Here is a 16274-nt window from a genome sequence, read left to right on the forward strand (position 1 = left end):
TTAAAGGGTTGGTTTTGTTTGTTTGTTTGTTTGTTTTAGATCCAAACAGTGAGATAAGGAAATGCAGGTACACAGTTGGCTTTGGTCCTCTGAAGGTGGGGCCACAAACCCCTCTCCAGTGAAATTATCCCCAATCCATGAGGTCCCAATTGTGGGATGGGGTAAGAGGCATTTATACTACCAGCTTTCAGGGAAGATTACAATGCCTTGCAGAAGAATCATTTTGCAGAGAGCACTACAAAAATCATTAGCTGTTTACCTGATGGCAAGGCAGACTTCCTTCTGAATTTCAGGGCAAATTTGATCTTTTGGAGCCATCAACAACTGCCAAAGAAGCAATCCCGACCGTCGAATGATGTCTCGATTCCTTTCAGTTTGTGGGCTGAAGAAAAATTTAAATACCACCTACAGAAACAGAAGGAGTCTATCTAAAAATGCTAATTCTACTGGGGATAAAATTATCTCTACAAAGAAAGTACATGGTAGATATCCTATGAACAAATAACCAGGTGGATTTTGTTTAACCACAATCTCTTCTACTGTGTAACGGTATAATTATAGTAAATATTTTGCATATATTAATTGTAATACGCTATGTATAGCAATACTCCATTAAGCACAGTGCAATGAATATGATAATTCTAACTCCAGGATCAGAAGGTGGTAAGATGCAGAACAGGAAAATCATTAAATTTTTCTTCTGGTAAAAATGAACTGGCTGAAGCCAAGGTTTGCGTTTCCTTTTCTCTATCATCTTATTTATTTCAAAACAGTGTATTTACCTGAAAGACAACGAGAATGCAGCGTATAATACAGGTATCTCCATTAACCATGGCCTTCTCCATAATGTCACAAATACTGCTAAGATGATGTGCTTCAATTGGATGCTGCTTGCCCAAGACACTTGTGATTGGAAGATTGGGGTTGGTGGCAAGAAGATTGAGTTGGTGTATGCACATCGCACCAACGTGGTGCAATAATTGGTTTATAACCTCATTCGTGGTTATAGCCTCTTCTAGAAGATGAAAAGGAAACTGAGTGAGGAAAGACATCTCTATGGGTGGTCCCCAAAGAATAGACCTTTGACTTACAAAAGGTGTGTGCGCACTAGAAAAGGATATTTTGGCTATAATCTCTTTCACTGCTGCCAGAGAACGCTTCTCCCTGCCACAGGTGCTGGGGTGAAAACACTTGGGGAGTTCATTTGTTTGGAACATAAGTAGCTACCACTTCCTGAGCCCTTTTTATATGCTGAAGAATGGGCTGAATGCTTTACATGGTTCTCAACTTAGACTATTTTAGCCCTGTTTTGTAGAGCAATAAACCAAGAGTCAGAGAAGTTAAGGTACTTGCCCTAGGTCACACAGCTAAGAAGTGGTAGAACTGGGATTTGGATTCAGGCCACCTCATTCCACAGCCCCTACTGGTAACCATTCTAGTAAAACCTCTCCATATCCTATGTCTGCTCCATATTAGAACTCCTGTCTATAAATAGCTCCTCATGTTTTGACATGTTAAGCTGAAAATGCCCGTTAGATAACCAAGTGGAAGTGAATCCACAGTCTGGAGTTCAGGCAAGAGGCTTGGTAGTCAGTAATATAAAGTGGACTTTCTTTTCTACTTTTTGCTTTTTCAAAAAAAAAGCTTTATCAAGATATAATTTACATTCCATAAAACTCGCCCACTCTAAATGCACAACTCACCAAGTTTTAGTAAATTTACACAAATACCAAAATCAAGAATGAAAGCTGAGAAAAAACACTGACCCTACAGATACTAATTACTGTGGTGATTAACATTTGTCTACATGAACTGGCTTTGGTCCTCTGAAGGACCAAGTCTACAAGTTCTCTGATATGCTTCTTCTAGGAGGTGGAGCTTAATTCCCCTTCCCTTCAGTGTGGTCGAGACTAACAGAGTGTGGAAAGGGAGAAGTGGAATCTTAATAGTGGAGAAATCTGGCAGACATCATTTAAACAAAGTGATCAGTTTTTAATATCACTAGTAATAAGTCATGTCAATATCATGTACCTTGGAATAGAAGTAATGTGAAGGGGATACCTCTTCTGTGGTATTCTTCCCCCAATCCGTAACTTCAGTCTAACCATGAGAAAGCATCAGATGAACCCACAGGGAAGGAAATTCTATTCTGCAAATGTGTGACCAGTACTCCCCAAGTGTCCTGTTCTGCTCTTCAGACAGAACAACTCTACTAATCTATGGCCCAGGTTTGCTGCTTTCTTCTCCCAGCAGCTCAGATCTGCTGTTGAGCCACTCTACTGAATTTTTCTTTTCAAATCTGGAATTTCCATTTTTTTTTGTTGTTGTTGTTTTGTTTTGTTTTTTAAAATAATCTCTTTACTGAAATTCTCAATTTGCTTAATCATAGTCATCATACTTGCCTTTAATTTTTTTAAACTTGGATTCCTTCAGTTCTTTAAATGTATTTATAATGGCTGCTTTAAGTCTTCATCTGACTTTAAAGTCATCAGTCCAACATCTGCATTTCTCCTGCATTGCATGGTTACTGATTTCTCTGCTCAGTTTATTTTTTCAAATACTTGTTTCTTTCTTGCATTTATTTTTTTTAATTTTATCTTATTTTATTTTTTTGAGACAGAGTTTCAAAAAAGTTAAGTTGTTGCCCAGGCTGGGGTGCAATGGCATGATCTCAGCTCACTGCAACCTCAGCCTCCCAGTTCAAGTGATTCTCCTGCCCTAGCCTCCCAAGTAGCTGAGACTACAGGCGCCTGCCACCACACCCAGCTAACTTTTTTGTATTTTTAGTAGAGATGGGGTTTCCCCGTGTTGGCCAGGCTGGTCTCGAACTCCTGACCTCAGGTGATCTGCCTGCCTCAGCCTCCCAAAGTGCTGGGATTACAGGTGTGGGCCACAGCGCCTAGCCTCATTTATTTTTAATTATTCTTGTTTTTCTTTTTCAGCCTGGCTTCCTAGGGTTCACCCCTATCTGTATTCCTTAGTGGTTGTCAACCAATGATTGTGGTCAAACACCTTGAGCCAGTAATACTTTCACCCTGGATGGATCTGTGTATTTCGGGAGAAGTGCAGCAAAGTTCACGCGGTTTTAAACTCTGCTCTGGTTTTTACTTTCTGTTGGGCCCTCTCACATCTTTGCATGTGTATGCAGACTCATGTTTAGCCAGAATTGTGTGAGTAGCTTAGGCTGTCTTAGGCCTCTTCTGTGTAGATGTGTGGTCCCCCACAGCTTTCTCACTATCCAGATCTCACTAGTAAACTTCTAGCTAGTCAGCTGGGCCACTGCTTGCCCTAACTGGGATCAAGATCTAAGACCTGCTGAGCCACTGGTCTCTGTTTGTTTGCCACCAAGATGACTACTGTTACTGACAATGCTACTGGACATGAGGTTTTTCCACGCTCTGCTCCCTATCAAGTCAGCCCCCTCTGGCAGCAAAGCTGCTGCTTTTCACTATCTTCTCCACCCTGAGAGAAATTACTGTGCTGACCAAGCTTGAGGTGGTCAGCATAGTAATTCTCTCAATGCAGACTGAGGTGGAGGATAGGAGCAGTTCTAGCTAAGAACACCATGGACTTCCACTGTTCTTACCCAAAGTTCAAGGTTTTTTAAAATGAATAACAACTCTCAATTTAGTGTATGCCTTGGCAATTTCCAGGGCCTGGAAATGGTTGTTTTTGATAATTGCCTGTTTTAGTGTTGCTTTACGGGTAGGGGACTTGCTGAGTGATTAATTCCTCCATATTAGCATAGTTGACTTTAAAGCCAAAAGATTTTAATATTAACTTAGTATTAAGAATGTTCATATTAATATTGAAAAATACAAAGGTCCTTCACTGGTAATTCTATCTAAGTTTGTGTATAATTAAGTCATTACCAATGCAAAACATTACAACAGCAAATAATCCCATGCCAAATACAAATAATCAATTTTTGCAACAAAGTTCCAACAATTTCAGGAAGGACATAACAATTTTCCTTTAAAAAAGTCTATGGACCACCTCAAAAGCTCTATTTATTTACATACTTATTTACTTAATCATAACTCATCTTTCATGGTTACAGATAACAAAGGACTTTAGGTTTCAAAAGTTCAAAGAGGGAAAACTGGTGACACATTCTGGGGTTGGGCTATGTTTTCACCTACTAATGCTGTGGTATTCTCTCATATTTCAGAGGAAAATCTTTTCCTGCAAGACCCTGAGTGCACCTCACCTTTGGGCTCAGTGATAATGTGACTGACTCCAAGTCTCTGGCAGACATAATGGAAGGCTTGATTCCCAGGGTTACACCACTGATCGATATAGTCATTTGAGCATGTCCATAGCATGTTGTTCACTGTGTCATAACACGCTCCTGCAAAAAGAGCATACTGTATTCAGTCACCATGCCACCAGCTACCTGTATACATATTTCTCACAAGCACTGCTACAAAGTGGAAGGGCAAGGATGCTCTCTAATGTTGACAACCCACAACCCTAGTCCCACAGATTTATTTGGTAAGGCACTAGGTTGGGACTCGGCAAAGGCCAGCATTTAATTTTTAATTTTGCTTAACTCCTGTGTGAGGAGTAAATCTCACAAAATAGATAGCTCTTAGTAACTGATTTATCTGTGACCTACTTCCAAAGAGGATTTAAGTGGCTTACATTAAAAACACAGGTATAATAGGACCAATTAACATTAATGCAAAATAAAAAGCCCTAATAACTGAGCCCAAAACTTAGAAATAAGCTTCCTACCACCCACGGCAAAGAGAAAGTCCAGTATATTACTTAATGTTCATTTTCTAACAATAACAGGTATACCAATTCCTCACAGGAAATAAACTTTTTGTGGCATAAACCTGAGAATTTCTTATAGGCATCATCACACAACCTAATCAATAGTATCTTCAATTGCAGTTTATTCAGAGGAATTTTACATATGGCAATGTCTTATACTCATTCCCAAAATTAAAATTTAATATAAAAAAATTCTTTCTGGCTGGACACAATGGCTCATGCCTGTAATCCCAGCACTTTGGGAGGCCAAGGCAGGAAGATTGCTTGAGCCTAGGAGTTTGAGACCAGCCTGGGTGACATAGTGAGACCTTGGCTCTACAAAAAATAAACAAAATTAGCTGGGCATGGTGGTGTGCTCCTGTAGTCCCAGTTACTCAGGAGGCTGAGATGGGAGGACTGCTTGAGCCCAGGAGGTAGAGGCTGCAGTGAGCCAAGATCGTAACACTTCACTCCAGCCTAGGTGACAGAAGAGACCCTGTCTCAAACAAAACAAAACAAAACAAAACAAAAAACGTCTTTCTTTTCAAGAAAACTAGAATGCCACAGGGAACTGGCAAGACAGTTCAAGAGAAATTTGCTAAAACTTGAAATTTTCCAAAGATATGTGCAAGTTTATTTCTTACCCAATCCTGGTACGAGAGCACCACGCCCCAGTGAGCTTCCAGCAGCATCTATGAGATCTGCACGACTTGTAAACTGACCATCCGAAATATTATACACCAAGCTGGAGGCTAGGACTTTGGAAACAAACATTAAGCTGTTTAATGAGCCTGAAGATTATTTTTAAAGTTTAAATTTTAGGCTTTTAACAAGACTTTTATAAAAATCACACCCTTTTCTTGTTGTTGTGTATTGGTGGTAATTGGTGGTAAAGAGATGGAGAATACATGCATAAGACCACAGAAAGAAAACTGTCACCACCAGAAATTTTCCTAAATTTAATACCGAACCATAGTTTTCAAAGTGTTTTTAAAATGGCAACTTTTGCATGACGGTTCTTTCCGATATACATTATCAAAAGGGTAACTGCAAGAGGGGTTATGATCACTAATATCACAAGATGCAAATGTTTACAAGAAACACTTGGCAGTTAGTCAGTGTTCAATAAAGCTTGGTGTATACTCAAACACAGCTCAGCTGCAATCTTTCCTAATACTGGCTCTACAACTTGGACACACCCTGGCTTTTTCCCTTAACACAGGATAGTGCAGTATTAAAGAGCATGGACTTTGGGCTTCAGAGTTTGAATTCCAGCTCTAAAACTTTTGGGTGGCCCTGGGAAAGTCATTGAACATTTCAGTTTCCTCATTTCTAGAGTGGAAATAATAAAAGTCCTACCTTATATAGTTATTTTAAAGAATAAATGAGTTAAAATATGTCAAGGATCCACACCAGCATATATATATATATATATGTATTAATTGCTATCATTGATTTTATTTTCTTCCCCATTTTCAAACAAAACTTTAGCACTGTGTCTCTTGAGTTTTCTTCTTTTTCATATTTTAATCACCCTAGTAGCCCAGATCCGCATCGTGCCTAACTTAAGTTATAACATAAATGATACTCTTTTTTCTATTTTCTACTGTTTCATTAAACAAAATGGGACAGTGGAAAATAGACCTCCAAATCTCTTTTTTCATGGTACTTAACCATACATATGCTTTCTCCCCACTTGGCCACTTATATGAATAATATCCGTTCTTTATGGCTTAAACTCAAAACCTCATGAAGTCTCTCCTTTCTACCCCACTCCACAATGAGCCTTTCTTTCTCAGATTGTGCAGCTCACAAATCTGCTCCACATGGATCCTTCCAGCAGGGATGCAGCATTGTCTATCATTTTCTCATTGTCTCACATATCTACGTCATCTCTCCTAACTAGACTAAGAGCTGTTAAAGGCAAGCACCAATTCTTCCACTTTCTGAGCAGCCCCCACAGTAGCCGAAGAGGAACAGGACACAGAAGGAATTTAAGCATTTACTGATTTGTTGCACTAAAGCAGAATCACTGTGTAAGCTATATCCTCATGAAAGAATGGTACCATGAAGACCCACTTTAATTAAATGGGGTCAATTTCAACTGAGCAAAAAAGCCATGCCAAGGAGACTAAACACAATTTAATAAGACTAATGGTCATAATATGTGGTAATAGGAGGAAAAAAGAGGGGGAAAAAAAGAAAAGACTGATGGTCAATAACATAAAAACCCAATTTTTATTTTTGTTTTATTTATTTATTTAGAGACAGAATCTCGCTCTGTCGCCAGGCTGGAGTGCAGTGGCGCGATCTAGGCTCACTGCAACCTCCAGCTCCCAGGTTCAAGCAATTCTCCTGCCTCAGCCTCCTGTGTAGCTGGGACTACAGGCACGCGCCACCACGCCCAGCTAATTTTTGTATTTTAGTAGAGATGGGGTTTCACCACGTTGGCCACGATGGTCTCGATCTCTTGACCTCATGATCTGCCCGCCACAGCCTCCCAAGTGCTGGGATTACAGGCGTGAGCCACTGCGCCTGGCCAAAAAACCCAATCTTTAAATGGATAAAAGACTTTGGAGGAATAGATATTCCTCCAAAGAAGGTATACAAATGGCCAATAAGCACATGAAAAGATGCTAAGCATCATTAGTCATTAAGGAAATGCATAAAATCACAATGAGGTACAACTTCATATCCACAAAGATGGCTATAATCAGAAAAATGGAAAATAACAAATGTTGGTGAGGATGTAGAGAAAATAGAACCATTATACTTTGGAGATGAGAACGTAAAATGGTATGGCCACTTTGGGAAACAGTTTAGCAGTCCCTCCAAGGGTAAACATACAGTTACCATATGACCCAGCGATTCCACTCCTACGTATGTGCCCAAGAGTATGAAAAACATCCACACAAAACTTACATACTAATGTTCATAACAGCATTATTCAAAATAGCCAAAAAGTAGAAACAACTCAAATGTCCATCAACTTATGAATGGATAAACAAAATGGGATATTATCCACACTATGAAATATAATTCAACCATAAAAAGTAATGAAGTACTGATTCATGCTGTAATATGGATGAACCTCGAAAACATTATGTTAAGTTTAAAAAGCAGTCACAGACTCACTCCATCCTGCCACCCTGTGAAGACGCCTGCTTCTCCTTTGCCTTCCGCCATGATTGTAAGTTTCCTAAGGCCTCTCCAGCAATGCGCAACTGATGGATAAAACAACTTGGAACCAATAAAAAAGAGCTGGGTCTGGTGTCAAGAGACTTGGACCACATCACTTCACCTGTCTGAGCCTCAGTGACCACGTAGTGATCCCATGGCTAAAGACTGAGAAAGATCTAGGATCACTGGTGTCCAATAATAAATGCACATTTGCAAGCACTAAGGAGAAAACCTCACTCCATGTACTTTCTTCCTGGAGACCAAGCCCACTACAGCAAGGAGTATCTTCAAGCGAGGGTGGAATTGTGCATGAATAGAGAATACTCTCCATCTCTTCTCACATCACACAGCTCTCCAGTTGATACAATATTCAACTATATTTACATCGAGGGAAAAATGATTCTATATTTATATATAACTCTCCATAATGTGTCAAGTGTCCTCACACTATCCTATGTGGTAGGTATAATCATCTGCACATTTTTTTTAATGGGAAAGTTGAGGCTTTGAATGATTAATTTCCCCAAGATAATAGTTACTAAAAGAAACAAGATTTTTACATGTCTGTCTGCATCTACTTTTATAGCTCCTGATTTTATTCGTAGCTCAGCCACCATAATATGCACAGAATGAGACAAAATAATAAGTGGTATTTTGCTACTATCGAGTAAAACCAAAAATTAAAAATCAAGCAAATAAACAAACAAACGAAAAAGCAGTCATAAAAGGCCATATGTTGTATAATTCCATTTACATGAAAAGTAGAGTATAGGTAACTCCACAGAGACAGAAAGTAGATTGGTAGATGCCAGGGGTCAGGGAGTAGGAGAGCAACTGTTGATGAGTATGAGGTTTCTTTTTGGGGTGACGGATAGATTAGTGGTAATGACTGCACAACTCTGTGAACATATTAAAAACCACTGAATTGTATATTTTAAAGGGGTGAAATTTACGGTGTGTGAGTTATATTTCAATAAAGCCACCGCCCCCAGCCTGAGGAACATTTAATTCTATACTTTATCCCATTTAACTATGTGTGCACTCTGAAGCCAAAATTACACTGCTTTCATTACTACAGTGTGCCTCCTTATAATAATATATGGATATTTTAAAATACTAACACATTTTTACACATTTGCTTTTCTATGTCTTATGCTTAGTATTTTGTATATGTGTCCTAAAATGGAGGTGTTTTACATATGTATTTTAATAGCTTTGAAATTCTATTGGCAGGGCGTGGTGGCTCATGCCTGTAATCCCAGCACTTTGGGAGGCCAAGGTGGGTGGATCACCTGAGGCCAGGAATTCCAGAACAGACTGGCCAACATGGCGAAACGCCATCTCTACTAAAAATAAAAAAATTAGCCGGGCATGGTGGCATGTGCCTGTAATCTCAGCTACTAGGGAGGCTGAGGCAGGAGAATCACTTCAACCCGGGAGGCAGAAGTTGCAGTAGGCTGAGATCATGCCACTGCACTCCAGCCTGGGTGACAGAGCAAGACTCCGTCTAAAAAAAAAGAAATTCTATCATAGTGAGTAGAGCTCTTGCTGTATCATCAGTAAATAATGTGACAAAATATTATTTTATTTCCTAAAACTTTGTTGAACTGATTATTTCTATTAATTTTATAGGACAATAGTTTTCAAAACTATACTAATATGCCATCCACAAAAAATTATATTGTTAAATCTTCCTAGCCTATTTGATAATTGGTATTTTTTGTTATCAGAGAGCTATTGCAAACAACTATTTAACAAAGTAAGTTTTAAATAATTAATAGGAAAGCTTTAAATTTCAGAGTTTGAGATAAATCGAGGAAAGTGCCACAAGTAAAATTCACTTACTTTTTAAAGATGACAAACCACTTGTTCCACCAAAAAGAGATCGGGTGGCAGAGCTGCCTGATCCCCCTGGAGGAGGCACCAGCATCACCAAGTAGGTGCCACAGGTATATATGGGTGTCTTCCGCAGCATTTTTAGAGGCAGCCCACAGCTAGTATTTGCTGGAGAAAGGAATGAAAATGCTAAATCAAAATATTTGACACAAAAGTTAATTTGATTACCAACACAGATTAGGATATAATGAGGGAGACCCAAACTCAAACAAAGATTTGGAAAACAGATTTCCAGATTAGGAAAACAGAATAAGAAGTAATAGCTAAGGAAAAAAATAATTATCTTCTGGCTCCACAGCCTGACCCTGAGCCTCCTATTTATATGGTCTGAACATTTCTTGACAGTGCTCCCAATCCTCAATATGCCATCATGCCTCTACAAATTATTCCAAAAAAATAAATCCTCACATGGACTAAATCTCAAAATAAGAGAAGAATCCTAGTATTTGTTTGTGTTTCCCCTAGAAAACTGATATAGGTTGAGTACATTTATCTGAAATGCCTGGGACCAGAAGTGTTTTGGATTTCAGATTTTTTCAGAATTTGAAATATTTGGATTATACTTAAGAGTTGAGCATTCCTAATTGAAAAATCCAAAATCCAAAATATTCCAGTGAACATTTCCTTTGTTTTCATTTATTTTTACTCATTACATCTGAGATTAGTGAGAACATTTCCTTTGAGCATCATGTAGGCACTCAAAAAGTTTCAGATTTGGGAGCATTTTAGATTTTTAGATTTGGGATGAACAACCTATATTCCAATCAAGATCTTGGTTTTTTTTTCCCATTTTATATAGAACAAATTCTTGACAGGCTTGTGATATTAAACTCATAATAAACAGCTTTCAACATGAAATCGGCCAAAATTTCAACCTAATGAAAGCTTTCACAATATCTATCACAAAACAATTTTATAGCTGTGTAATTTATTATAACCCCTTATATACATTTTTCTTTTTTTTAAGGGTCAATGACATAAACTGTCATTAGGAAAATAATTATTGTTTCTAATCAAGAGGTGTAAAATGTACTTTAATCTCCCTTACTGGCATATCTAGAAAGTGGAGTGAATTTACGGATTTTCTATATACAAGCCTAGCGAGGATTGATTATGTCAACAGAGAATCAACTGGAGTGCTTTACTTAGAAAGCTGTCAGGCTATAAAATATAACTTATTATCTATAGCCTGGATAGATGAAAATCATTTTTAGATGGTTTAGATTAGAAGAGTGAGTAAAGTGAAACCTAATCTATCTGATATTTGTTTTGAATGCTTGTGCTTCTAAAAAGCTTTTTTTTTTTTAAGCTGCAAGCCCCCACCAAGTATATTCTTCATTAAGGACATAAATTCAAGAAGATAAATTTCCACTGGTAAGAAACCTAAAGACAGCAATAATTGGAAAATTAGCAACTTTGTGAGTATACCATTTTCACCAAGATGTTTTCAATAGACATATGCTTATTAAGATGGCAATAGGTATTAGTTTTTAATGGAATAAAAACTTTTTTTTTTTTTTTTTTTTGAGACTGAGTCTCACTGTTGTCTGCCTGGGCTGCAGTACAATGGAGCCATCTCGGCTCACTGCAACTTCCACTTCCTGTGTTCCAGCAATTCTCCTGCCTCAGCCCCTCCCGAGTAGCTGAGACTACAGGAGCCCACCATCACACCCGGCTAATTTTTGTATTTTCAGTAGAGATGGGGTTTCACCATGTTGGCCAGGCTGGTCTTGAACTCCTGACCTCAGGTGATCCACCCACCTCAGCCTCCCAAAATGCTGGGATTATAGGCATAAGCCACTGCCCCTGGCCAAAACCTTACAGACACCTTGAATGTTCGCTTACTTTTGAAAAGTTTCTTAGTTTATAACTGGTGAATTTTTAATTTAATGTAGCAACATCACGTTAAAGAATCCACATAAAAGTACGATGATTGCTTAAGCCCAGGAGTTTGAGACCAGCCTGGACAACATAACAAGACCTCATGTTTTTTTTAAAAAAAAAAAGTACAATGAGACCACATGTTTAGAATACAGATACCCGTTTCTACCAAATTCTAGTATATGTGCTGCCAAAGCGTGCACATTTCTACCAAATTCTAAATATGTCCTTGCCTTCTGAGGTCTTTCTTTGATATTATACATATTTTCAACAAGCATTCTTTTAGTATTTCCATTGTTTAGGGTAAGATTTCATTTTCTCCCAAGGGACAAACCCAGATCAGGCCTTCAGCTTGTCATGAAAATGTTTATTTAGGTAACAACAAAAACAAAAACAAAAAAAACTGTCCTCTAGAAAGTATCTTCTACAGTTGGAATTATCCACTTACCCAAATCATAAAAACTATTAACAATTTTGCCACTTACCTTTGATACAAAAGAAGCCTGTGAAAATAAAATACTGTCCTTAAATTCTAATATGGACTAATAAGTATTTAATTTGGTAGTCTCATAATAAATTAACTATAAATATTTTCTCTTCCTAGCATTTCCAACTATAAAAATAAAGCATAAGATTACACTGAATTCATTAAATGCATATTAATTCAGATGCAGTTTTCTACATATGGCATCTTTTTCTAGCTTTATCTTTTACTGCAGTTCATAGTTTGCTATAAATCCAAATATTTGGTATGTAATCTGTAAACTCTATGGAATAATGGTTCTTAATGTTTTTGGGGGTCATAGATGACTCTGAAAATCTAATGAAAGTTATGACAGATACATATAAAATGATATCTAAAACTTTGAGGGAGTATGTTTAATAACATACTCCCTTAAAGGTGTATCCTGGTTAAGAACTCCTACTTTAAAAGTGCAGAACAGCCAGGCGCGGTGGCTCACGCCTGTAATCCCAGCACTTTGGGAGGCCAAGGTGGGCGGATCACGAGGTCAGGAGATCGAGACCATCCTGGCTAACACGGTGAAACCCCGTCTCTACTAAAAATACAAAAAATTAGCCAGGCGTGGTAGCGGGCGCCTGTAGTCCCAGCTACTCGGGAGGCTGAGGCAGGAGAATGGCGTGAACCTGGGAGGCGGAGCTTGCAGTGAGCTGAGATCGCGCCACTGCACTCCAGCCTGGAAGACAGAGCAAGACTCCATCTCAAAAAACAAAAACAAAAACAAAAAACAACAACAACGAAAAAAAAAGTGCAGAACAATGTATATAGTATACTACCTTCTATTAAGAAAAGGCAGAAATTATGAACATATAAATTTATCTTTAATTATATTTGCATAAACAAACACTGGAAGGATAAATGAAAACTAATAAATATAGTTACCTGTGGTGGGGTAGGGTGGGGTCACAATATAAAATTTACCAACATGGTAAGAATAAGACTTCTCTGCATATACCTTTTTACATTGTTTTGACTTTCAAATTCTGTACGTGTATTATCTATTTTAAAACATTAAATTAAAAAACTAAATGATAAATTCTAAAAAACAAAATATCTACTGTAGAAGGCTTTTCTGTTATTTGCTTGGTCAAGACTGTATTTAGGGAAGATGATGCTAAGTATCAGGTTTTCTCATTCACAAAGCATACGCAAAATATGAAATCAACTAATTTATATGAATGGTGATGATGATAAGGTGTTTACAGTTTAACATGGGGCTATTTTGCATTCTTACAGGTTCATATGAATTTGTGTCCATAGCCTACAACATGTATTGGCTTGGAATAAAAAGCTGGACAATGACTGGAAGACCAAATAAAGTCAACTATGCAAAGGAAAGGGCTTTGTACAGCACGGACGAAGTGCTCAATAAGACGTAGCTGAACAGAGCTATACAAGGAAACAGATCTGGGAAGCACAGAGTAACATACCTGCTTGATCCTCTTTCAGTGTGTTGGAGATGGTGGAACCAGTCAGGGCAGCAAGCGTTGCTGACGGGGAGGCTCTATACCGAGAAAGTCTACTTAGAAGCATCTCATTAATGCTTTTGGCAGATTCGCCCTCTTTTCTCATTAGAATTGTACGTTCCTGAAGTGGGTTGGCTACAAATACACCATTTTCAACCTAACATAGAAAAAAAGGAGGTCCTAAAATGATATCTGTTTCCATTTAGTTAGCAAATTTCTACTGAGGATATTATTGTGAGTAAATAAAAAATATTTCAAAAACTGCTCCTGAGTAGATGTATACCTTAAAACTTAAATGTGCTATAGAAACTACTACAAACAAAAGAGACTATGCTAAGTTTGAGATCTTTCACTTTTCATAATAGCTATAATGTTTAATAGGTCTATGAAAAGTTGTTGATTAAAATTCCTTACACTGGATTCCACAGGCAGCGCTTACTAATTACATGCCTCTGACAGGTTGAAGTCAAATGAGAGGAAAACAAATCAATCAGTCTTTGATTTACTGTTAAGGACAACTATGAGGATAATGTCTTCTCGAAATATCTTCAGTGGCTAAAATCCAAACTCTTTATTAACAGCAGTTAACATTAGCACCAGCTGCTCAGGCCCTGGCAGAGCAAGCCTGGACAAAGCCAGACTTTGCTAAAAATACACATCAACTTCAACTGGATCTTTGCTGGTGCTTTGCAGTTCTTTCATTCATCACTTGGTTATTCCCCAGAAAAATCTTTGGAGTGGTGACTCCAAAATTCCTTCACCAATTTTGAGCTTGACTTTCAGCAGACCACCTGGTTTTCTTCTTTCTTCTTTTTTTTTTTTTTTTTCTTTTTCCACCTGGCTTTCTGTATTGCTAAAAAGATCCAGACCACTTACTATAAGCTTCTCCTACTCACGTCTCTTCCAACTTAAGAATCTTGGGACCCAGCCTCATTTACTATTTCCTTTGTCTTAATTCAGAGGAAGAAGGATTTCACCTCATATTATTGAAGATGAACCCTTCCACTTCTGCCTCAAGTCCTGTGCTCCCCTCTGCCTCTTCATCATTAGTGTCTCCCTCTCTATTGAGTTCCTTCTCTTTGTTTTCAAATATTCACAGGTCTTAAACAAAACCTTGGTGGCCCATTAAAATATCACCCCTTTTGTCAAATCTCTCATGGCCCCTTTCTAGATCCAAGAACTGGGTCCCCACCAGCAAAGACAGGCAGGACTGGCCTGCAGCTGTGGGGTGTGGAGATAAGAGGGAATGGGAGTGCAAAGTGGCAAATCTTCAGAAGCAAAGGGAAAGCAAAAGAGGAGTCCACAGGGAAAGGTTGGTAACACAGAAGGGGCAAGAGAAAGTGAGTAAACTCAGGAGCACAGCCAGGAAAGATTCCCAAAGGTGGGTGTACGTAGTGGGGGAGTCTTTTATGACATATTCACAAATGATAAAGAAAAAGATTTGTTACAGAGTCCAAAAATGCTGTTTCTATTTCCCCATCCCCTGCTTTTTAACCCTTTGCAGTTGGTAGTCTCTGAATTCAGCACACTCTAATGAGTCGGCAATCTCAATGGTCCACCAGTGACCTAAAACCAAAACCACTGACCTTTTCCTTGACTTCCTTGCAGGTCGCGCCATCACTGCCATCCTTCTTGGGATTCTGATTCCTTAGTGTTGGTGGCAGAACACAAGCCTGGTTTGTTTCTTTTTGTTTCTTTTTTTTGAGACAGGGTCTTGCTCTGTCACTCAGGCTACAGTGTAGTGGTGTGATCACAGCTCACTGAACCCTCAATCTCCCCAGGCTCAGATGATCCTCCCACCCCAGCCTCTCGAGTAGCTGGGACCACAGGAATGCGCCACCACATCTGGCTAATTTTTGTATTAATATTTTTTGTAGAGACAGGGTTTTGCCATGTTGCCCAGGCTGGTCCTGAACTCCTAGGCTCAAGCAATCTGCCTGCCTCAGCCTCTCAAAGTGCTGGAATTACAGGCGTGAGCCACCATGCCCAGCCTGGTTTGTTTCTTTTTAACATGAACACTTACCTCTGTGTAAAGTGCTCACTGTGCTGGCGAGTGAAGCCAGCACAGTCCCTGCCCTCCTTCCTGTCTCTCTCTTTGCTGGTCAACATCTTCATTTGCTTAAATGGGACCTTTCCCAAGATTAGACCTACCCCTGGTGTCCAAGACCTCCACCTGGAATGCTCTATCCCTAGACCTTCCAGAGACTGGCTCTTTCCTATCATTCAGGTCTTAGTTAAACGTTACCCACTCAAAGAGGTCTGCCCTGGTTGCCAATCTAAAAAAGAATCCTCCCCAGCACCCCAACCCAGAGCACATCATGCTGTTTCATTATCTACACAGCACGTACTACTCTCTGAAATTATTTTACTCATGAAGTCATTTATTCTTTGCCCTTCTACCTTAACACGTCCCAATGAATGCCAACTCCCTGAGAACAGGGATCCACCTGCCTTGTTTGCCATAACATCCCCAGCACTTAGGAGGCATTCAATGAATACTCGATTGCTTGCTGAATAAACAGATCAGGGCCCTCCCCCAAATCCAACTCCGCTTCTCTATGGCAACTCCCACA

The 16274-nt window shown here is 38.9% G+C and overlaps 1 protein-coding gene across 2 annotated transcripts in view; it reads right to left on the reverse strand.

Annotated features, from left to right (window-relative positions):
• Positions 1-16274, reverse strand: part of HECTD4 (HECT domain E3 ubiquitin protein ligase 4) — a 222237-nt gene that overhangs the window by 109250 nt on the left and 96713 nt on the right. For both annotated transcript variants that reach the window (NM_001388303.1, NM_001109662.4), the window contains exons 8-13: positions 13666-13858; positions 9784-9942; positions 5403-5516; positions 4211-4351; positions 783-1015; positions 260-405 (exon numbers count right to left, since the gene is read on the reverse strand). In NM_001388303.1, coding sequence (NP_001375232.1) covers positions 260-405; positions 783-1015; positions 4211-4351; positions 5403-5516; positions 9784-9942; positions 13666-13858 — 986 coding nt within the window. The remainder of the gene's footprint in view (positions 1-259; positions 406-782; positions 1016-4210; positions 4352-5402; positions 5517-9783; positions 9943-13665; positions 13859-16274) is intronic.

This window comes from Homo sapiens, chromosome 12 (genome assembly GCF_000001405.40).
Source record: "Homo sapiens chromosome 12, GRCh38.p14 Primary Assembly".
NCBI classification, from domain to species: Eukaryota; Metazoa; Chordata; class Mammalia; order Primates; family Hominidae; genus Homo; species Homo sapiens.